We start from the raw sequence: 25,606 nt of genomic DNA on the forward strand, positions 1-25,606 counted from the left end.
TCAATGAGTGAAGTGTCCATAGTCCCATGCCATATTACTTGTATAATTTCTATATTATATGCTCTATGAAAAGAATGTGGTCAAGTCAGTTTTGTATATGTTTGGCTATTTTTTACCATGAGGAACATCTGAAATCAAATGTTATCTTCTGCAAACTAGGTTTGTAAGAGAAACAAATAAACATTATACTTATTTCCACTTCATTCTTGGAATAAAATTTATTTTCAGAATTATTTTCGTTAATTCTTTACCATTTTAGAAATATTTCAAGTGATAGTGTTTTTTTGGTTTGTTCATTTGGTAGTTGTCTTAGGGAACTTTGTCCACAAGCTCACTTTTAGATGATGATGCATGGGTCTGTGCATTAAGGAAATGTTCCCCCCACAAAAAACAAGTAATGGGGTAAGAGAAGTAGAAGAGGGAATTGATCACTCCAAATAAATGTGACATTTAAATCAAAATCTCAACAGCAACCTAATCCTGTAGGTTTCTCCAGAACTGAAATGACATCACAATTTTTGTTGTGATTGGGGTGATGGAGCTGAGATTTGAAACTTCCATACCCACAGGTGTTGGCTATGGGCCTGCCCCAGGGTACATCACAGGGGATATGAGTATAAGGGCAGAGCATCCACAGAATTTATTACAGTGGTCTTTTTTTCCTTCTGTAGTCATAGTTAAAACAAAAAGTAATATTTCTTATTCTATGTGGTAGTGATGATGGTGCCTGTATGTAAACTATGTTATTTAATCTAAAATTATTGGTTAAATATAGATAATTGGCTAATGAAATTTTGATTGATCACTATGTTTAACACAAGTGCACAATTTGTAGAAGTACTGATTTATGCTATCAAGGAAATTTAAGTTTAAGAATGATATCATATGGTAAAAATTACATATAGATATGAAATGTAATCCTGAATAAGGCTATCTGATACATGTGCTTAGGATCCATAGCAAAGAAAGATAAGGTTAGTGTTTGTTAACCAAGATGATGTTGAGTGTGTGTATTTTACATAAAATGTTAATATCAATGTTTATATCAATGTATAAAGAGAAAAATGTAGTTCCTTTCTTACTGGAAAATATTGTATGCAGAACTGAGGTGGAAATCATTCAGTTGCATGTAATATATGTTTACCATTAATTTACTTGATAACTCATTATATTTCAGCTATGAACATTTTTTTACTTTCATCCTATTCTATATTTACTTACAGTTACTTGCATTAAAACATGGGATTTTGGCATTTTACCTCAGCTAGTGACCATAAAGTACTAGTAGATGATAGATGGCTGATTCAACAGTGATATTTTCTTGGTATTCTATAATGCAGATCTGAAATTAATAAGGCAGTATTAAGGTGATATAGATATAAAATATAGCCCTTCTATTAAAAAATCAGTTGCACAAGAATAGAATTGTCATATAAGATAGACAGCCCAAATATAGTTTAAGAGTGTTTTGTGGTTGGTAAACATAATAAGACAATTTCACAATGCTTTCATAAAATAGAGTATGCAGGTTATAGAAGGTAATAGTACTCTGTACTTGTTGAATAACTTTTGCAGTATATATTGCTTTCAGTCCTCAGACACATTTAAAGAAGGACAAACAGAAAACAAAAGGTTATCTAAATAAATGAGACTGATATATAAGAGATTTGGAGACCTGGCAGTAGAAAGAATCCTTGAATGTTCTAAATTTCTGAAATCTGAACATAAACCTTAGAGAAAAAATAATGACTGTATTTAAATATTTGAAGAACTGTAATGGGGTTCAGATTGTAGGTTTTCTTCTATGTTGGGCTGGGACAGATCTAAAGTTACAGCTCTCCAGATATAAAATGGGCTGTTTCTGTGTTGTGAATGTCATCTGGTAGTGTCTCCCTAATAGCATCATCCAAGGCTACATACCATTTGTCAGGGACTCCATAGAAGAATGGAGTAAATTAACTATGAGACACCTTCAACTCTAAACTTTCCTGAATCTGTGTTTTTGCACCTGCACAGTTACAAGCTGTGTTCTATAGCACACTTGACAGTGAAATTTATACTATCTATTAAAATCTTTAGAAGTAAAAATTTTAAAAATCATTAACATTGAGTAGATGGTTAAAAAAACAAAGTAAGTAGAAAGAAAAAATGAATAAATCATGTCTTCATCATTAAGGGCATCTGGGATACTTAAATGCATGGCATTTACTGCATCTGAAATTTTTATTGTATTGAAATGCAATGTTTTCACTTTCAGGTTTTCACTTCCAGTTACTGCAACAGCAGAAAACTGCATTCTTACTATTTACCCATATATGGCAATTCATCTGGATAAGCAAAACATTATTTTAAAGAATGGTAAGCTATGTATGACTTATTTATCCCTAACTCTCACTGTATAGGTTCTTGGCCAACATCTAGAAATAAAGTGAATTTAAAATTATCAGTTGTTTATTAAACAGCTGCCTCTGATAGAAGCTGTGCTTGTCATTGAGAGTAGAATCTGTATGTCTCTTAATTCCAAAAGTTGACGATCTAGTTTGAATAGAATGATTTGGGCAAAAGACAATATAGCAGAAACATGCAGGTGTGACAGGAGGTGTAAGGCAGTAAATGTAGGTACAGGACCATAATGCTATGCCCTTTATTCTGTAGCAGTGGGAACCTTCTGTCATTTTTTGAGTATCAGTGTTTAGAAAGGGAACAATTCTTGGGATGTGTGATGAATTAAAGTGGGACAGAGTGTGGTCATTAGACCAGCCTGGAATTGCTGCAGGGGAAATTGTGAGAGAAGCTAAGAATACTAAACAAGCTAGTGAGCAGGGAGAAATATGAAAGGCAAGAAACAGGGGAGTACATTAGAGAAAGGAGGGAGAGTGGGTAACAAAAAAAAATCCCATCTGTGTAGATCGTCAAGGTCTTAATTTTCAGTGCTGAATTAGAGGTCTTTTGTTTGTTTTTAACCAATTTTCTCATATTCTTCACTTGTTTCTTCAAATATTTACAACTCTGATGAAACATATTTAGTCTTATTCTACCTTAATTTCAGGGGATGACTCTTTTTTCTTACTATTCAGAAGAAATAGAGGCCATTAAGCAGTACCACTCTGAACTTCCAAATACCCTCTTGGATTGGAACTGGATTGTGACAAGCAAGTCACAAGCATGTATCGTGACTCTTTTTACTGGTCACAAAGCTGGGAGCCAGGGCTCTCTCTTGCCTTAACTTATTCCTTTATCTGAATCCCTTTACCCAGGTACCTTCTCAATCAAGTAACCTTGCTTATCTTTTCATTTCTGTCTCCCTCTTAGCTGCTTTGAGTGAGCATCTAGGAAGACAGTAGAAAGGAGAAAGGAGACTGTATTTTCCCAGTGGCCAGCAGGCTCATTCCCAAAGAGCAAAAAGGGTAGCTTCAGGCCATGCATTCCTTATTAATTCTTTCCAAATCTAACAGTAAAATAAATCACTCAACTTCCCAGGGAGAAGGAGAAAAGCAGCAGAGGAAATTAAACAATTAGAAAACTTCAACTGCCTTTAACAGGAAAAAAAATTCAGGGGTAAGGAAGAAGAATTTATCCATTATGCTGCCATAACTAAACTACTGAGCACAGCTAACACTTGACTATTCTCTTTCTCCATCTTCAAACTTTCTCTGGGTTTCCACATACCATACTTCTTTTGGTCTCCTTTAACCTCTCTGACTGTTCCTTCTGAGCATCTTTCATAGATTCCTCCCTCTTCCTCTATCTGTACTTTTAAATTGTTTGTGTCAATAGGAGTTCTGACCCCTCTCTTCTTCCTTCCATGACTTCAGCTACAATCCATGGGCTATACCTCTAGCCTTGTTTCCTCTCAGAGATTCAGGAATTCAGAATTCAACTGTCTTCTGGATACCATTCTTTGTATTCCCATAGGCACCCCCAAAACAACATAACCCAAACTGAAGTCATCTCTCTGACATTTTTTTCTCTATATACCCCATCTCTATGTTTGTACCTATAGTCCATACAGGTGCCAAATCCGGAAACCTGAGTGCCATCATTGGCAATGTCTTCTCTCTCACACTCCACTTCCAGTCAACCAATTCCTGTCCCTTTTGCTGCCTAAATATTTATCAAATCCATTCACTTTTCTCCCTCTCCACTGCCACTACAAACATTCAAGCTGCCATAATACCTTTCCAGGGTTGTTGCAGGGGTTTCTAAACTGTTCTCCTTCCTCCTACAATGGTCTCCCCTTTCACATAGCTACCCTCAGAGAATGGCCACGGTGATTTTTTTTTTTTTTTTTCTTGGAGATGGAGTCTCGCTCTGTCTCCTAGGCTGGAGTGCAGTGGCATGATCTTGGCTCACTGCAAGCTCCGCCTCCCAAGTTCACGCCATTCTCCTGCCTCAGCCTCCCGAGAAGCTGGGACTACAGGTGCCCGCCACCATGGCCGGCTAATCTTTTTGTATTTTTAGTAGAGACGGGGTTTCACCGTGGTCTCAATCTCCTGACCTCGTGATCCGCCCACCTCGGCCTCCCAAAGTGCTGGGATTACAGGCGTGAGCCACCGCGCCTGGCCGCCACGGTGATATTTACAGACTGAAAATTCATTCTTTAATTCCCAGGTATAAAATCTTTCCATAGAATATCATTGCTAGGTGGATGAAGCCTACAAGACCACACATGTTAGCAAGTGGTTTAGTTGTCATTTCTGGACATTTTTCCCTTTATGCTCAAGCCACATTAATCTTCTGCAAGTTCTTTGAGCATCTTGATCTTTACTGATACTCTTTCTTGTGACTGGAGCATTTTACCCATGACACCGTACACAGTTATAGAAGATCCCTGCCTCTGCATGCAAAAATTATGTGTTTCTCTGGTGTATCCTCATAGCTCTGTGCAATTCTTCTGTCATAGCCCTTACTACATTTTGACTTAACCTGCCTATTATCAATGTCTTTTTCTAAATGTTGCTATCTATAAAGTCTGTGAGAGTAGGAATCACCTCTCTCTTTTTCACCCTTGTGTCCATAGTGCCTCACACAGTGTTTAGCAGATAAAAGGTATTTATTCAGTATTGTAAAATGGATTACTTGAATCATAAACCATCAGGAAGGCATCTTTTAGCTATATATTTTCATAAAAGAATGGGTTATATGTGAAATAGCATATTCTGAACACCAAAAAATTATTTTAAAGCAATTTATGGAATAATGCAGTTGGCAGAGTGGAGATATATAGGGAGAGATAGATATCTCAAAATTTTAACACACATTGTCAAAATGTAAAGATTTTTTTTTTTTTGGCCGGGCGCAGGGGCTCACGCCTGTAATCCCAGCACTTTTGGAGGCTGAAGCAGGCAGATCACAAGGTCAAGAGATCGAGACCATCCTGGCCAACATGGTGAAACCCCGTCTCTACTAAAAATACAAAAATTAGCTGGGTATGGGGGCACGTGCCTGTAATCCGAGCTACTCGGGAGGCTGAGGCAGGAGAATCACTTGAACCGAGGAGGCAGAGGTTGCAGTGAGCCAAGATCATGCCACTGCACTCCAGCCTGGCGACAGAGCGAGACTCCTCAATTAAAAAAAAAAAAAAAAGAAAAAAGATTTTTTTGACGAATATTGACATAATATTTTTATATTCCACTCTACTTCCAGGGGGAGGATTTCAGATTATACAACATAATAGTTATGAAGAGTCACACAAACTAGATGATGGCAATTCTCATTTGTGTTCTAACCACACTTTTATGCCATATGATTTTATCTTTTATTCTTAAATCTTCAAATTTACCATCTTTTATTAAGCAAAATGTACATGACAGAACAGTAATAGAATACTGATAATATCTGTTTTACCTATTTAAAAGGGCTTTTGTGAGGACCCATAGACTGCAAATACATGGAAATTATTGTTATGAATAATATTTCATTATTATTGCTATTATCACTGTGGTTGTGATTGCTTTATCATTTTTATATGCTTTATAATTTACTTCCAGAAAATAATGATTAATTACTGGGCAATAAATAATATTGTTATCTCTTTAAAATAAATAAATAAATAAAACCTTGTTGTTAGATTATTAAGCATAAAGTCTATGTGTGAAAATAATGCATCCATTTGGGGAAATATTTCAAAAGAAAGAAATTATAATTCTTAAATATCCTAAAACATCTTTAGAAATATATATAGTGATAATTTCTAATATATATTTAATGCTTACCAGGTATATGGTGCTCTGCTCAGTGCCTTATATTTGTCCTTTAAATTAGTCCTCCCAGAAGTTCTGAGTTAGATGCCCTTATATATCTCACTTTACAAATTAAAAATCTGAATATGTAGAGAGGGTGAGCAGCTTATCCCAGGGAATTCTAATGAAATTTGAGGCCTCAGCTCCCACACACTTTGGTAGTGTGTGCTAGGGTATGATATGATCAATAAAGGTAAAATCTTAAAATATATCAAGTATATCTAAAAGTAAAGCAGTATGATTATTTTAGTATAGTTCATCTGCAAAATTCTTTTAAAAAGTGAATTATTGAGTTTAGTTGAAAGTGTATAGATGTGGCTTTGCATTCCACTGGGAACTTTTTATCATTTAATGGCAAGTTAAAAACATTTAGCCTAATGCATCTACCACAAATAATTTTATCATTGAGTTCTCTGAGGCTCAATTCTATGAAGTCTATAGTGGTGTAGCATTCTGGAAATAATGCACACCTATTGACTACAGAGTCTCAGGCAAATTCTAAATGACTCTGTTATGAAAGAGTGCAAGAAACTTAGCATATAATAGCTCATTTATATTTGTTATTGTCTTTAATGTAATCTTCACAACAAACTCATGAGCTCAGAAACTTTGGTCTCATTTTATGGATAAATACATGTTTTAAATAATTTGTATAACACACTCACAGTTTAACTGTGAGTAGAAGTAGGCATGCCAAGTTTTCAAATCAGATTTTTCTAACTGCAGAGTCTATGCTTTTTTGACAGAATTAGACTGAGTTAGGAGCTGGGACTTGACACCAGGGTGGGGCTTGGAGGCTTGGACAATGGACCATATGGAGGACTAGCTAAAACAGAGTGCGGGCAAAATTAGCTTTCTTTTTCTTTTCCTTTTTTTTTTTTTTTTTTTGAAACAAGGTCTCCATCTCTCTCCCAAGCTGGAATGCAGTGGCACAATCTCAGCTCACCTCCACCTCCTGGGTTCAAGCGATTCTCATGCCTCAGCCTCCCGAGTAGCTGGGACTATAGGCACGCGCCACCACACCTGGCTAATTTTTGTATTTTTACTAGAGATGGGGTTTCACCATGTTGGCCAGGCTGGTCTTGAACTCCTGACCTCAGGTGATCCGCCCGCCTTGGCCTCCCAAAGTGCTGGGATTATAGGCGTGAGCCACCTCACCTGGCTGCAAAATCAGCTTTCAATCAGACATGCCTACCAGTGTGCCATGTCAATTTACCATTGCCATGGCAACATTTGGGAGTTACCGCCCCTTTACATGGCAATGATCCAAGGATTACTACCCTTTCCCTAGAAATTTCTGCATAAACCACCCCTTAATCTGCATGCAATTAAAAATGGGAATAAATATGACTGCAAAACTGCCCTGAGCTGCTACCCTCTGCCTAGGGCTAGCCCTGCTCTCCAAGGGCAGTCATGGAGCTGTAATATTGCTGGAGGTGTAACACTGCCTCTTCAATTAAGCCGTTTACTTCTACCTCTGGCTTGCCCTTGAATTCTTTCCTGGGCAAAGCCAAGAACCCTTGCAGGCTAAGATCCACTCTGTGGCCCACCTGTCCTGCATCAAGACTATGACTATATGTAAATTGCATATGTATTTTGAGGCTTGGCCTTAGGTCACACCTACTGGCTTTTCTTGGCCAGCACTGCCTTTGGTTGGATTCAGATTTACACTGTGGCAGTCCCTAATATACATATATAGCAACTGTAACTGAAATCGAGATTGAAATCTGTACAAAAATGGTATCAGTTCATAACCAAGCTGTGATGTTATTACAGAGAGTTAACTAGGAAGATATTAGTTTTTCTGGTGACTCTTTTCCTATATCTTATTTTGAACAGCGTATGTAATAATTTCATTTATTTGGATGTAGAAACATTTAAAATATTTTCATATTCTTTTTTACGCTAAAGTTGAACATTGTTCATTCTCTAATAACTTTGATGTACCATAACAATTGCCTTACCAAAAAAATTCATTTAGTTTAGAAAATTGTATCAACTTTTATCTTTTTCCTATTTGACATCTTATTTTATGTACAGTGGGTGTTTAGACTTTTTTTTTACTTTGTCATAGATAGATGGATACATAGATAGATATATACATCAATAGATAATAGATAAACTCAGGTTAAATAATGGTATAAAGAAATACGTGAATGCATGTTTTGCTTACTGTGATCCAATGTGTCATTTGTAGATAAGGATGAATATCTTAAGAAGACTAGAGATGGTGTTTTGCCTCCCTACCAGGATGCTAAACCACCCTCTCCTGCTTCAATTAAAAAGACATACACCACTAGCAAATTCAATGATGCTGAACCTGCAAAGGGAAACTTATTTATTGGTATGTAGCAAATATATAGTGTACTTTCCAAAATTAGTCCATGACATGATCTCCTTAATATCACTTAATTTAAGGTTAGGTTTTTACAAATAACAAGAAATTCATGAAGAAAATTGGGAATTTGTCATTAATTTTAAATGGATCATCTGTTTGGAGAGTTGTCTTCAAGGGTCAATAGTAGAGATTCTCTAATGTTCTTGGTTCACAGCACTCTTACTGTTTCAGTATTTACTTTTCTGAATGCCAAAATGTAGCACATAGTTCCATTTATTAAATGCATTGGGACAAAAATGTAAGAGTAGTACTTATGTGCTGTCTAATAGATGTTGCAGTAATATTTAACAAAAACGTTAATACCTGTGGAGCCTCTGTAAATTTACTGTGACATCCCAAGCACTCTCTGTGCACAGTTTGGGAACTGCAGAACTAAGGACTTGTCTCTTCGTTGTCTAACTAACTGTAGCCAAGGTTTCCTGTCTTAGAAAGAGGTCAGCACAGATAAATATGTGAGTTTCATACTATTATTTACCATTAACTGTTCAAATATTTATTTCTCTGGATGTAGGTAATAATGAACATTTTTCTTTTTATTGAATGGACCAAACCAAATTAAATAATATGAGGTTTTTAGTGAGTATGTGATTGTGCCATTATATAACCAGATATTTTTGGAAAAAAAAGATGAAATCATTTTATATTCTTGAAAATTACTTTAACTTGAAAATGCTTTGTTTTATTCAAGTACTTGATTTGGATAGAAAGTCATTTGGGATCTAAACCAATATTGTCTTTGTATAATTTTTTCAGATGAGATTAAATTTTTTCTAATACATAATGCTGAAGATTGTCAATACATTTTATTAATGTAATAAAAAATGAAAGATTCCACTTCAGGGAATATTTTCACATACCATTATGGCAAGAAGAAAATGTAACTTTTATGTATTGAAATCCAGCTATTGTTAAAACGTTTCTCTTAGGTACTTAAAAGTAAATGTATTTTCATTGTTTACTTTAAGATATAGTAAATTGACTCAGAATTTCTTTGAGAGCATAGAATAATTTGTAGAATAGGTTCTATTAGTCTGCATACAAATGACAATAACTGACAGAATATTTTACTCCTCGTCAAGTAGCCCTTTTTTAACAAACTAATTTTAATTTTAGGAGTGGAAGTACTGCCTGAAAATTTGCACTTGGATGAAAGTGAAACATCAGAGGAAGATCATGGGTCTCTGGAAAAGGAAAAATATGAACAATTCCTTTCTCTTGAGGAAGGAACAAAGGCACACTACTTTTTTGAGAAGGTTGTAAATGCAGCACAGACCTGGTTCAGTCTCTTTGGCTGGCCTGAAGGACCCCATTCTTTTTCTATTCCAGAGACTATAAGAAGGTGAGAGTCCCATGTTTCTCTAAATTCTTTGCTTCATATCACATCATAAAATATAATCTATTGATTGAGATTATTTTAAGTGAAATACAATATGAAGTAATTTATTCTAAACTGATATATTATGAAGCATCTCATAATTTATTGTTGTTATTGCAAGAAGAGTAAAATGATGCAAACACAAATTTTTTAGTATAATGTCATCTTTAATTTCTTTTAAATATCTGATAATTTTAGGCAAGCACTGAACATCTCTGAACCTCACCTTCCTCATCTGTGATATGAGGAAGGTTATACTGTGAGTAGGAAAGCCCTTTTAATATTAGCCCTAGATCGAGATTATAGCCAGGTAGACAGGTAATGGTATTAATGAACAAGGAGGGCTCACTTTTCTTTGACTTGATTTCCTCTTTTACAGTGCATTTACTTCCCTTCTTTCATGTGCTGTTTTGTTACTCAGTATGTCTAAAATAGTTCAACTGTTTTGATTATATCAAGTGACTTACTTCTGTTGTTAATGTAAACAGGAGTTTAGGCCTGTTACTGGTTATAATGTTGTTGGTGTGATATGTTCTCAGAGCTTTTCTACCTGCTTTCTCAGCAATGAGGTAACTTGCTGCAACCACGGCAGGGAGTACAGTACTCATAGCTATAGTGGACTATGGGCTATTTATAGAATTTCTGCTCTATATTCGAGTGACCTAGGTAAAACTAAGGCTGCAGTTTTCCTATATGTTACCTTTTTCAGGTTTTTTAATTAATAGGACAAACCTAGCTTCATGGAATGAATTGGCTAATATTTCATCTTTGTCCCTGCTGTGAGAAAATTAATGCAATTGATACCCTGAAAATTTATAGTTTTCATCATAAAATCATTTGTTATTGAAACATTTTTTGGAATGTTTGTGCATCTTCTTTCTTGAACCTGAAGATAGAGATTGTCAGAAATGCTCTTTGTTGATGTGTACCTTGCGTAATTTCACTCTTTAGAAACACCACTTCACAGCAATAAGGAAGATAAGGCCCGGTTCATTTGTTGATTGCTGAGATATATACAAGTAGAATAGCAGAAGACAAAGAAATTATTTGAGGGGATTTCCTATTTATTGATAATTCTTAGTCTGTTTTCTTTTTCATAAGGCTATGAAAATTTTATTAACTTATATTTTGTCTTTTACAATAACTTTTCTTCATAAACATATTTTGGGATCTAGTTAATGAATTAGATGACTTATGGAGTTTTTTCAAATTTTTGAACAAATTGCAATCATATATAATTATACGGTACACAGCGTTAATATGGTATATATATGTACAGTGTGGAATAATTAAATCAAGATAATGAACATATTCATCATCTTAAGTATTTATCATTTATTTCTCTTGTATAATTGCAACCTTGTATCATTTGACCAACATCTCTCGGGTCCCTCAACCTTCAGCCTCTGATGACCACCATTTCACTCTCAGCTTCAATGAATTCAACTTTTTTAGATAAAATGTATGAGTGAGATCATGTAATATTCATCTTTCTATGCCTGGCTTATTTCACTTAGCATAATGTCCTTCAGGTTCATCCATGTTGTCAAAAACTACTGGATTTCACTCTTTTTTAAGGCTGAGGAGTGTTACATTTTCTTTATCCATTCATCTGTTGATTGACACTTAGGTTGATTCCATATCTTGGCTATTGTGAATAATGCTGTAATAAACCTGGGAGTGATTATATCGTTTCAATGTACTGATTTCATTTACTTTAAATAGATGCCCAGTATTGGGATAGGTGGATCATGTGGTAGCTTTATTTTAATGTTTTAATTTTAATTTTATATGTATTATTTTTATTTATTTATTTATTTATTTATTTATTTATTTATTTATTTAGAGATGGAGTCTCTCTCTGTCACCCAGACTGGGGTGTAGTGGCGCAATCTCGGCTAACTGCAACCTCCGCTTCCCGGGCTCAAGCAGTTCTTCTGCCTCAGCCTCCCAAGTAGCTGAGACTACAGGTGCTTGCCACCATGCCTGGCTAATTTTTGTATTTTTCATAGAGACAGGGTTTCACTATGTTGGCCAGGCTGGTCTAGAACTCCTGACCTCGTGATCCACCTGCCTTGGCATCCCAAAGTGCTGGGATTACAGGCATGAGCCACTGCGCCCAGCCTGTTGTTATTTTTTAATAATTTCAACTTTTATTTTAGATTCAGGGGTACATGTGCAATATACATGCATATATTGTGTGATGCTGAGGTGTGGAATACAAATAATCCTGTCACCCAAATAAAGAGCACAGTACACAACAGTTTTTCGACACTTGTTTCCTTCCCTCATGTCTCCTTCTGTTAGTCCTGAGTGCCTTTTGTGGCCATCTTTTTGTTCATGAGTACCCAATATTTAGGTCCCACAAGAGAGAGCATGCGGTATTTGGTTTTTTTGTTCCTGTGTTTATTCATTTAAGATAATGGTCCAGCTGCATCCATGTTGCTGCAAATGACATGATTTCATTCTTTTTTATGGTTTCATAGTATTCCATTGTGTATATATACCACATTTTCTTTATCCAGTCCACCATTGATGGGGAACTAGGTTGATTCTATCTCTTTGCTATCACTATTGCTGTGATGAATATACAAGTGCATATGGCTTTTGGTAGAATGATTTATTTTCTTTTGGATATATACCCCACAATGGGATTGCTGGGTTGAATGGTATTTCTGTTTTAAGTTCTTTGAGAAATCTCCAAACTGCTTTCCACAGTAGCTGATCTTACTTGCATTCCTACCAATAGTATTTAAACATTCACTTTTCTTTTTTTTCTTTTTTTTTTTTTATTATACTTTAAGTTTTAGGGTACATGTGCATAACGTGCAGGTTTGTTACATATGTATACATGTGCCATGTTGGTGTGCTGCACCCATTAACTCATCATTTAACATTAGGTATATCTCCTAATGCTATCCCTCCCCCCTCCCCCCACCCCACAACAAGCCCCGGTGTGTGATAAACATTCACTTTTCTCTGCAGCCTCACAAACATCTCTTTTTTTTGCCTGTTTAGTAATAGCCATTCTGACTGGTGTGAGATGGTATCTCACTGTGATGTTGATTTGTATTTCTCTGATGTTTAGTAATGTTGAGCACTTTTTCATATGTTCATTGGCCAGTTATATATCTCCTTTTGAAAAGTGTCTGTTTATGTTATTTGCCCACTTTTTAATGGGGTTATTTGTTTTTTGCTTTTAAACTGTTTCAGTTCCTTCTAGGTTATGGATATTAGACCTTTGTCAGATGCATAGTTTGCAAATATTTGCTCCCATTCTGTAGGTTGTCTGTTTACTCTGTTAATAGTTTCCTTTGCTGTGCAGAAGCCCTTTAGTTTAACTGGTCCCACTTGTCACTTTTTTCTTTTTGTTGCAATTGATTTTGAGGACTTAGACATAAATTCTTTCCCAAGGCCAATGTCCAGAATGGTGATTCCTAGGTTTTCCTCTAGAATTCTTATAGATTGGGACTTTATATTTAAATCTTTAATCCATCCTGAGTGAATTTTTGTATATGGTGAAAGTTAGGGGTCTACTTTTAATCGTCTGCAAATGACTAGCCAAGTATCATAGTATCATTTATTGAATACAGAATCCTTTCTCCATTGCTTATTTTTGTTGACTGTGTTGAAGATTAGATGGCTGTAGCTATACAGCTTTATTTCTGGATTCTCTATTCTGTTCCGTTGGTCTTTGTGTCTGTTTTTATACCAGTACCATCCAATTTTGGTTCCTGTAGCCTTATAGTACAGTTTGAAGTCAGGTAATACAGCGCCTCCAGCTTTTTTTTTTTTTTTTTTTTTTTTTTTTTTTTTTTTTTTTGCTCAGGAGTCATTCGGTTATTTGGGCTTATTTTTGGTTACATATGAATTTTAGAAAAGTTTTTTTTTATAATTCTTTGAAAAATAGCATTGGTAATGTGGTAGAAATAGCAGTGAATCTGTAGATTGCTTTGGGCAGTAAGTCCATTTTAACTATATTGATTCTTCCAATCAATGAGCATAAAATGTTTTTCCATTTGTTTGTGTCATCTATGATTTCTTTCAGCAGTGTTTTATAGATCTCCTTGTATAGATCTTTCACCCCCTTGGTCAGATGTATTATTAGGTATTTTATTTTTCTGTGGCTATTGTAAATAGGACTGCCTTCTTGATTTGGCTCTCAGTGTGAACATTATTGGTGTATAGAAATACTACCAATTTTCATACATTGATTTTGTATCTTGAAACTTTACTGAAGTCATTTGTCAGTTACAGCAAATCTCTGGGATGCAGCAAAAACATTGTTAAGAGGAATGTTTATAATGCTAAACACCTACCTCAAAAATTAGAAAGATTCCAAATTGCTGGGTGCAATGGCTCATACCTGTAATTCCAGCACTTTGGGAGGCTGAGGTGGGTGGATTGCTGGAGGTCATGAGTTCAAGACAAGCCTGGCCAACATGGTGAAACCCCATCTCTACAAAAATACACAAAAAATTAGTCAAGCATGGTGGCACACTCCTATAGTCTCAGCTACTAGGGAGGCTGAGGCAGGAGAATTTATTGAACCCATGAGGCGGAGGTTGCAGTGAGCTGAGATCGTGCCACTGCACTCCAGCCTGAATGACAGAGCAAGACTCAGTCTCAAAAAAAAGAAAAAAAAAAGAAAAATCTCAAATTAAACTTCACACATTGAGGCAGTAGAAAAACTACATTTACTGAGGAGTGCTTTACTTCCAACTATGTGGTCAATTTTGGAATAAGTGCAATGGGGTGCTGAGAAGAATGTATATTCTGTTGATTTGGGGTGGAGAGTTCTGTAGATGTCTATTAGGTCTGCTTGGTGCAGAGCTGAGTTCAAGTCCTGGATATCCTTGTTAATCTTCGGTCTCGTAGATCTGTCTCATATTGACAGTGGGGTGTTAAAGTCTCCCATTATTATTGTGTGGGAGTCTAAGTCTCTTTGTAGGTCTCTAAGGACTTGCTCTATGAATCTGGGTGCTCCTGTATTGGGTGCATATATATTTAGGATAGTTAGCTCTTCTTGTTGAATTGATCCCTTTACCATTATGTAATGGCCTTCTTTGTCTCGTTTGATCTTTGTTGGTTTAAAGTCTGTTTTATCGGAGACTAGGATTGCAACCCCTACTTTTTTTTTGTTTTCCATTTGCTTGGTAAATCTTCCTCCATCACTTTATTTTGAGCCTATGTGGGTCTCTGCACATGAGATGGGTCTCCTGAATACAGCACACTGATGGGTCTTGACTCTTTATCCAATCTGCCAGTCTGTGTCTTTTAAATGGGGCATTTAGCCCATTTACATTTAAGGTTAATATTGTTATGTGTGAATTTGATCCTGTCATTATGATGTTAGCTGCTTATTTTGCAATGATGGTCTTTACAATTTGGCATGTTTTTGCAGTGGCTGGTACCGGTTGTTCCTTTCCATGTTTAGTGCTTCCTTCAGGAGCTCTTTTAGGGCAGGCCTGGTGGTGACAAAATCTCTCAGCATTTGCTTGTCTATAAAGGATTTTATTTCTCCTTCACTTATGAAGCTTAGTTTGGCTGGATATGAAATTCTGCGTTGAAAATTCTTTTCTTTAAGAATATTGAATATTGGCCCCCACTCTCTTCTGGCTTGTAGGGTTTCTGCCAAGAGATCCACTGTTAGTCTGATGGACTTCCCTTTGTGGGTAACCCGACCTTTCTCTCTGGCTGCTCTTAGCATTTTTTCCTTCATTTCAACCTTGGTGAATCTGACAATTATGTGTCTTGGGGTTGCTCTTCTTGAGGATATCTTTGTGGTGTTCTCTGTATTTCCTGAATTTGAATGTTGGCCTGCCTTGCTAGGTTGGGGACATTCTCCTGGTTAATATCCTGCAGAGTGTTTTCCAACTTGGTTCCATTCTCCCCGTCACTTTCAGGTACAGCAGTCAAACATAGATTTGGTCTTTTCACATAATTCCATATTTCTTGGAGGCTTTGTTAGTTTCTCTTTATTCTTTTTTCTCTAAACTTCTTTTCTTGCTTCATTTCATTCATTTGATCTTCAGTCACTGATACCCTTTCTTCCACTTGATCAAATTGGCTACTGAAGCTTGTGCATGCATCACGTAGTTCTAGTGCCATGGTTTTCAGCTCCGTCTGGTTATTTAAGGTCTTCTCTACACTGTTTATTCTAGTTAGCCAATCATCTAATCTTTTGTTCAAGATTTTTAGCTTCCTTGAGATAGGTTCGAACATCCTCCTTTAGCTCGGAGAAGTTTGTTATTACTGACTTTCTGAAGCCTACTTCTGTCAAATTGTCAAAGCAACAATGGTACTGGGAAAACTGGCTAGCCATATGTAGAAAGCTGAAACTGGATCCCTTCCTTACACCTTATACAAAAATTAATTCAAGATAGATTAAAGACTTAAATGTTAGACCTAAAACCTTAAAAACCCTAGAAGAAAACCTAGGCTATACCATTCAGGACATAGGCATGGGCAAGGACTTCATGTCTAAAACACCAAAAGCAATGGCAACAAAAGCCAAAATAGACAAATGGGATCTAATTATACTAAAGAGCTTCTACATGGCAAAAGAAACTACCATCAGAGTGTACAGGCAACCTACAGAATGGGAGAAAATTTTTGCAGTATACCCATCTGATAAAGGGCTAATATCCAGAATCTACAAAGAACTTAAACAAATTTACAAGAAAAAAATCAAACAACCCCATCAAAAAGTGGGCAAAGGATATGAGGAGACGATTTTCAAAAGAAGACATTTATGCAGCCAACAAACACATGAAAAAATGCTCATCATCACTGGTCATCAGAGAAATGCAAATCAAAACCACAGTGAGATACCATCTCACATCCATTAGAATGGCGATCATTAAAAAGTCAGGAAACGAGGTACTGGAGAGGATGTGGAGAAATAGGAACACTTTTACACTGTTGGTGGGACTGTAAACTAGTTCAACCATTAGTGGAAGACAGTGTGGCAATTCCTCAAGGATCTAGAACTAGAAATACCATTTGACCCAGTGATCCCATTACTGGGTATATACCCAAAGGATTATAAATCATGCTACTCTAAAGACACATGCCCATGTATGTGTATTCCAGCACTATTCACAATAGCAAAGACTTGGAACTAACCCAAATGTCCATCAATGATAGACTGGATTAAGAAAATGTGGCACATATACACCATGGAATACTATGAAGCCACAAAAAAGGATGAGTTCATGTCCTTTGCAGCAACATGGATGAAGCTGGAAACCATCATTCTGAGCAAACTATCACAAGGACAGAAAACCAAACACCGCATGTTCTCACTCGTAGGTGGGAACTGAACAATGAGAACACTTGGACACAGGGTGGGGAACATCACACACCAGGGCCTGTTGTGGGGTTGGGGGATGGGGGAGGGATAGCATTAGGAGAAATATCTAATGTAAATGACGAATTAATGGGTGCAACAAACCAACACAGCGCATGTATACATATGTAACAAACCTGCACATTGTGCACATGCACCCTAGAACTTAAAAGTATAATTAAAACAAAAGAAAAACTAGGAAAACTAACTCAAAAGCTAGCAGAAGAAAATAAATTACTAAAATAAGAGCAGAACTCAATGAACTTGAAACTCAAAAATATATGCAAAGAATCAACAAAACCAAAACATGGTTTTTTGAAAAGATAAACAAGATTGATAGACTACTAGCTAGACTAAGAAAGAAAAAAAGAGAGAATATACAAATAAGCACAATCAAAATCACTAAATGTGGCATTACAACTGATCCCACAGAAATACAAAGGATCCTAAGAGATGTTTATGAACACTTCGGTGCACAAGAACTAGAAAATTTAGAGAATGTGGATAAATTCCTGGAAGCACACATCCTCTCAAGATTGAATCAGGAAGAAATTGAATCCCTGAACAGATCAATATTGATTTCAAAAATTAAATAAGTAATAAAAAACCTACTAACAAAAGCCATGGGCCAAAAGAATTCACAGCCAAATTCTACCAGATATTCAAAGAAGAGCTGTTAACAATTATACTGATTCTATTCCAAAAAATCAAGGAGGAAAGACTCCTCCCTAACACACTCTTGGAAGCCAGCATCACTGTGATACCAAAACCTGGCAGAGACACATTGAAAAAAGAAAACTATAGGCCAATATTCCTGATGAACATAGATGTAAAAATCCTTAATAGAATATTAGAAAACTGAATCCAGTAGCACATCAAAATGCTAATTCACCATGATCAAGTAGGCTTCATTCCTGGGATGCAAGGTTGATTCAACACACACTAATTAGTCAATGATTCACCGCATGTAAGGAATTAAAAACAAAAACTGTGTGATCATCTCAATAGATGTGATAAAAGCCTTCAATAATATCCAACATCCCTTCATGATAAAAAATCTCAACAGAGTCACCAGCAAAGGAACATACCTGAAAATAACAAGAGCCATCTATGACAGCCAATATCATACTGAATGGGCATAAGCTGGAACCATTTCCCTTGAGTACTAGAACAAAACATGGATGCCCACTCTGACCACTGCTATTCAAAATAGTATGAGAAGTCCTTTTCAGAGCAAGCAGACAAGAGAAAGAAACAAAAGGCATCCAAATAAAAGAAGTCTTACTTCTGTCTTCACTGATGTTATGATTTTATGCTTAGAAAACCCTAGTTTTATTTTTATTTTTTTGAGGAACCTCCATAATGTTTCCTACATCACTGTACTAATTTACCTTCCTACCAGAAGTGTGCAAGGGTTCCCTTTTCTCCGCATCTTCTCCAAAACTTGTTATTGTTCATATTTCTTATAAGTCAATATAACAGGCCTGAGATAATATCTCGTTGGGATTTTAATTTGTACTTCCTTTATAATTAATGACTTTGGGCATCAGTCTGTTTTCAGTTCCTAGAAGCCCTTAGGTATTATTTCTTTTTTGCTCTTCCCCTAATCACCAGAAGATAGAAGTAGCCCTGGAAATAGACAAGAAAACACAATTTATGTTTCAGAGATAATCACAGAAAATGTAGTAAATATTATAGTCTATTCTTTTCAAGCTGGGTGAATTGTAGAAATAACATTTTCTATAAACACCGCTGAGAAGATCTCTAAGCAACTAATCATAGAGTCATTTGAATCGTACTGGAAGTCCCACTTATTCTGAGAGAAGTAATTGCAGTACATGTAGGTGCTGTCCCAGGATTCCACTCTAGCATGAAGCTTCCTGCAGCTGCCACATACAAACAACACATCCTAGAATGCCAGTCAGGAAGCTTAAGGGGAAGCTTAAGGAAAGCTTGTTCCAAAGCTAACTATTCCATCCCAGAGCCTCTCATTTAGTATAATACATAGAATCTTATAGAAAATCAAATCCTTCCAGTAGAATGTTTTATCTTTCATAACAAGAGGATCTGAAATGAGGAAAATATTTCCTCTATGCCTCCATTTTCTCATCTGTAAAAAAGGAGATAATGATAATACCTAACCAATACAGTTGTTGTAACATTTATGAGATAATATATTTAATGCATGTCAGAGCAGACCTTAGGACCTAGTAAGTCTTCAGTAAATCTTAGCTATTATTAATAAGTTTAATTAGGATTATGTTAATATAGTTATGTATTTCTAATTTCATTAATCATATTCACCAACTCTTTTTGTATTTGGCAGTAGAGAGTCAGTTTAAAACTCATCATTTTCAAGAGAGCACTTTTCCAAATTATGTTTTATTAATAATATTTCACCTTTCTTTGCAGGATGTTTCCCCAGCTTGATTCAGGAACATTTGACTTTTATTTATATAAATACACACACATGTGCATACATACATATAGATGTAGTATACATATATGCATGTATACATGCATGTATACATGTACGTATGTATACACATATATGTGTATATGTACTTATATATTACATATATACTTATATATGTATGTATATATATGCACATATATATAGCATAGCATGCTTTTCTCTTTGCAGCTTTGAGCTGCTGGCAAGCTCACTGATAAATTTAATAGTATTAAAATGAAATGTCACCTCCATTTCTGGGCATCCTGCCCATTCATACTGTAAACAGTGTCCAACAAAGTCATAGAAACTTGACTTTAGATTCAAGCTAAGTATTAAAATGAAAATGACTATAATAACTCATTCTAGTTGTGTTCCTTGAATTCTTACTTTTGCACACTAGTATAACAATAATGAGATATTCTACAATTCTTATGTTTAAAAGAGTTTTATTTGTTAATCATTTTACTGCATGTTTGCTGGTGATAGTGATGGGTGAGACTTTTGAATATTTTCAATCTCCAAATAGGGGATTCTCATAATTGAAAAATAAACAAAATCCTTTAACATATTAATATATATGTAAGAGCAAAATGAATATAGTTAAACTATATATAGGCAACTATGGAGTTATTAAACAATAATGATTTAATAATGTTTAATACTATTATTTTTGTTTAATTATGGTTTTTAATCAGTTCATATTTGCCTATATATTTATCAACATCATTGTTCTTTTTTTTGCATCATTAGTCTTGCAGGTAGGATGATTTTTATTTTCTCAAATGTTGCAGTATGAATACTATTCTATGACCTATATTTCATTGCAGTAATTTTGTTTTTATTTGATTTAATCTACTGTTAGACTCATCCATTGATTTCTTAATTTTATTTATTCAGATTTTTATTTGTGAATGCTCCATTAGTCAAATTTTATGTACCTTATTGTTCCATGGCAAAATTATCAATTTTGAACATAGTACATATGGTTAGTTTAAAACCTGTGTCTTACAACTATAATACCTGGGATCCCTGAATGTCTGTTTTTATTGCTTATTGTTCATTTTAGTTTGCATTAATCTTGACCAATAGTGGTATTAATTTTCTCCATAAAATATTTGTTTCTTTGCTGGTAACTTCAGGATACACTAGCTCTATCATACCCATTACTTATGAAGAAACTAAGGAACAGAAAAGTCAAGTAACTTTTATAATGTCATGCAATAAGTGGAAGAGCCATATTTTGAGCAGTGGTAGTCTATTTCTTGCCCAGTGGAACGTATTTTCTTCTGTGTGAACTTCCTATCTACCAAAGTGGGTAACTGCCATTCAAAATGGCCTCGGGTACTTATTTGTCAATCTAAGCAAGTGATACATCTGTGACTCTCATTGCTAACAGTTAGACAATGTGGTGTGAGATATTTAATAAATTATAGACAGCAAGAATAGTGGTAATTTTTAACTTCATTTAAAGTCAGTATGCATCACAACCTTGTGCAATATTACTAGGAATTAGAGATTGCAGTATCTGATTTAAAGAACAGAGGAATATATGTTATCTGTGGGCTTTATCTTTAAAATGAAAATCCCTGCTTATTAAGCCAATGTGCAGGATTTGCCCTTCTAAGCATTAAAATACAAATAGTGAGAAAATGTGTGTACATTATTTTTGTATATACATGTGTGATAAACATTTGAAATCTATCTTGGAAACTATTACAGACCTCATTATCTCCAATTTATATCATGCAAAATTGAGCTCAGTGAGTTTAGATAGCTTGCCATACTCACTCAGCTAGTAGGTGATGGGTTTAAATTCAATCTCTATTCTGTTTCTCAAGATCCAATCTATTCATAATCTAATACTTCAGATTTGACAGTTGCAACATTAGATAATTATGTGTGTTTAAATGAGATACTGGAAATCTATGATAATATTTAACAAATCTTTTTTGACCAACAAATGGTAGCCTAGTGAAGTGTATTATGGAGTTTCTTACTTAGTTGATTTTAATAGAGTTTCATTTAGTCATTGAATTGAACATGTTTTTTTTTCCCCCATACTATAACATTTTGAGACTGTTTTTAATTTTAAGTCTTTTTCTCATAGGGATGTATATAAAATGCAATTCTACTCATCAACCTCGCCACCCCAAAAGTTTTCCAGACAGAATGACTTTTCCAAATATAATAAGACCATTTATGATGTGCTGCTCCATTTGAGTGGAAAAATGCCACCTGGAATTAATTCAAGTCAATCTTTACCTGTAGATAACCATGAAAAAAGGGTAATTCAACTCCATTTGCAACATTCCTCACTTCTGGACTTTCTCAAGTAAGTGCCTGGATGTGCTCATATAAGCATATAACTCTGGCTTGGATAGTTAGATAAATGAACAGATAGATAGACTTTGATATTATTTTCCTTTCTAACCAAACACACACACACACACACACACACACATAAATATACACACACGTATATATATATTATATATATATATGTATGGTAAAGTATATATATCTCACACATTTTGAAAAATATATAATGCTTAATAGCCAATAAGCATTTTATGATGTATTGGATTTTTAAGGCAATCATTCTTATACTTTATCATGCATCAAAATCACTGAGAGGGTCTGTTAAAACAACAGTTTACTGACCCTTACCCATTGAGTTTTTCAAAGTTAATTTTCATTTATAACAAGTTTCAAGGTGATGCTGATATTTCTGATCCATTACCTTCATTTTGAAAATCCTGGTCTACAGCAAATACATAAATCCATTTAGCTAAAAAGGGATGAAACCAACAAGCTTTATTTCTCAGACTATTATTAGTATCATCTCAATTTATGGGTACTGTGGACTTTTAGTCTGCATAGATAAATTAAAATAGTAGGAAGGCGAAAGGAATTTTAAATGGTTGATGCAAAAGATAGGAAAAATAATTGTCGTAATATCTGTGTTCCTCTGCAAAGATTAAATGGCAAGTCGCCAAGAAATGGAAAAACAATGTACATTTACATTCTGAGAAGAGTACTGGTGAATTTACATTGCTTCTTTAGCCTGCGCTTGCAACATCCATGTACACTGAAACATCCCACATCCATAGGCAGTAATTTATTTAGCATCGAGTTGAACATGTTATTACTCCCTCTTCCATGCTCCTATACAATTAAAATGGCATTTATCACTTATAATTGTTTATGTAATATGGTTAATATATTTTTAGATGTATTATTGTGATTTTCTCTTTTGCTTCTTTGTTTATGGAATCTGCTCCATAGTTGTTCAGAGATGTTCATCTATCCTAGCAGGAATAGAGATGGAGGGCAAGAAGAATACTCTTATAGCAGGAATACAAATTAAAGATTTGACATTCAATTTTTTATTTCCAAATCAGGATTTTTGAGTCCCTAGTGATACTGTGTATTAAAACTTTGACATGTTACTTAAAATATTTTCTTTCATTTCTTAGGCTCTCAATATCATGGTAATAAGGCAAGACTGGCTTGGTTCCTTGTGGATTGCAAGGTAGCTAGAAGTTTCTAAATCACTTAAGGTGACTGAATCAAGATCCAGGCAGCTTGTCATGGCGGCTTCTGTGTTGGGATGTTAGAGGGACGCCACTGGAGAGGCAGAAGAGTGGCAGTTGTCTGGCCCTGATGCCACAATAGGAATGACAAATATATGAGGACTAGGGAGTGGCTGAGTCAGTTATAGGAGACCTCTTGGTCCTTGACGGGCCTAAGGGCAGAGACAGAAGATCCCCATCTCAGACATCAGCAGCATATGCCCACATGACACAGACATTTCAGGCAGAGAAGAGGCACAGCAAAAAAAGAACAAGTATCCAGAAATGCAGTCACCGACCTTCATGTACAAATATAGGAATCCCTCTCCCTGTCTCGTGTAAGCCCAAATCCAGCATGGATGATCCTAATTCTGAGAGTTCTTAATACAATTTGAGGAACCCTTCTATATAAAATAGCAAATGAAAAATATAAATATTAGATACATGGCTTTAGAAGGTAATCATGAAAGTAAAAAAACCTGAAGTTAAAACGGTATTTATTTGACAATGAGTCTACCTTTTCTCAGGTGCCATCTGGCATGGATAGGTGGGGGTGAAATTTTGCCTGTTAATCACAAATAACAGAATTTCTGTAAAGAGATTCTTTGGGTAGAAGACCTAAAGATACATGGAGATGCAATTTTGCATTTTCTCTGTATCCTTCTGCACTCAATCTAAATGGGAGAATGAGAATGGTTATATCAGTTAAGGAAATAACACAGCTATGTGGAATTTTGTAAATCACTTTCAACTCCGCTGGCTTATCCCTGAGTCAGTGAATCCCACAAATCTGTGAGCATCTTAAGGGCAGAAACCACATCTCATTCATCTGGAATTTCTAACACCCAGGATCACTGGGAGCATGGAATGGGGCCAATGTTCATTACATATTTATTTTTTAACATTTTCTTTCACAGAGATTTACCTTTTGAATTTGTGTGGTATAAGGAATGAAACATGGAAATTGCATCGCAGGACATTTATATAAGAATGAAGAAAATGCTGTGAAATATAAAAAGTGGTAAAAGAAAGGGTGAAAAATTTGCATTTCAGGAAGGAGAATGTAACAAATGAGAGGGTCAAGTTGGAGCAAACAACGTAAATTTTTTTTCTCAGAGTTCTGGATGCTAGAAGTCCAAGATCAAGGTATTGTCAAGGTTGGTTTCTTCCGAGGTTTCTCTGCTGGCAGATAAACTCTTCTTGCTGTGTCCTCATGTGGTTTTTCCTCTGTGTACCCATTTCCCTGATGTCTTTCTGTGTATTCAAATTTCATCTTCTTATAAAGACACAAGCCAAACTGGATTTGGTACCACTCTAATTACATCATTTTACATTAGTTATCTTTTTAAAGACCCTAACTCCAAATACAGTCACATTCTGAAGTCCTGAAATTTATGGTTTCAACATATGAACTTTGTGGAGGGGTGTAATGTAGACCATAGCAATACCATATGTGTTATATTATGAAACAATATTCTGTAACTGAATGTTATATTTTATAATAAATTTTGTATGGATATATTTGCAGTAATATATTTCTTGTCATTTGTGTCTGGTATGGACTGAATTGTGCCCCATCCCAAATTCATATGTTGAAACCCTAACCCCCAATGTGATTTTATTTGGAGATAAGGCCTTAAAGGATGTTATTAAGGTTAAATGTAGGGCCCTAATCCAATAGGATGGATGTCCTTTAAAGAAGAGGAAGAGATGCCAGATCTCTCTCTCTTCTCTTCTCTCTCTCTCTCTCTCTTTCTCATTATAGAGAGAATGCTATGTGAGTACACAGTGGGCAGATGGCCATCTACAAGCCAGGAAAAGAGGCCTCACCTAGAACCAAATTTTTGACACCTTGATCTTGAACTTACAGCATCCAGAATGGTGAAAGAATAAATGTCTTGTTTGAGCCACTTATCCTGTGGTATTTTCTTATGGCAGCTTGAGCTTACCAATATCATATCTAACATCCTTTGATACAATTTCACTTGTTTATAGTTATTATCATTTTATGATTAATTAATTTTCATTGAAAATAATAAAATTTTTAAAAATTTATAATTTGTGTAGTATAAAACTAAAACCGACACAGAATATCAACATCTTCTGCCGTACATTGTAACTAAAAAGTAGACCATCAGAAGAATATAAAGCTATTGTAACTCTTATTTTTAAATTCCACTAAGTTTTTAAATAAATAGTTAATTCACCAAAAT

General features: G+C 35.3%; 1 protein-coding gene across 3 annotated transcripts in view; it reads left to right on the forward strand.

Annotated features, from left to right (window-relative positions):
* CFAP47 (cilia and flagella associated protein 47) overlaps positions 1 to 25,606 on the forward strand; it is a 465,584-nt gene that overhangs the window by 143,652 nt on the left and 296,326 nt on the right. For all 3 annotated transcript variants that reach the window (NM_001304548.2, XM_017029452.2, XM_017029453.2), the window contains exons 27-30: positions 2,258 to 2,358; positions 8,440 to 8,586; positions 9,754 to 9,979; positions 21,929 to 22,153. In NM_001304548.2, coding sequence (NP_001291477.1) covers positions 2,258 to 2,358; positions 8,440 to 8,586; positions 9,754 to 9,979; positions 21,929 to 22,153 — 699 coding nt within the window. The remainder of the gene's footprint in view (positions 1 to 2,257; positions 2,359 to 8,439; positions 8,587 to 9,753; positions 9,980 to 21,928; positions 22,154 to 25,606) is intronic.

The sequence above is a fragment of the Homo sapiens genome, chromosome X, assembly GCF_000001405.40.
Source record: "Homo sapiens chromosome X, GRCh38.p14 Primary Assembly".
Lineage (NCBI taxonomy): Eukaryota > Metazoa > Chordata > Mammalia > Primates > Hominidae > Homo > Homo sapiens.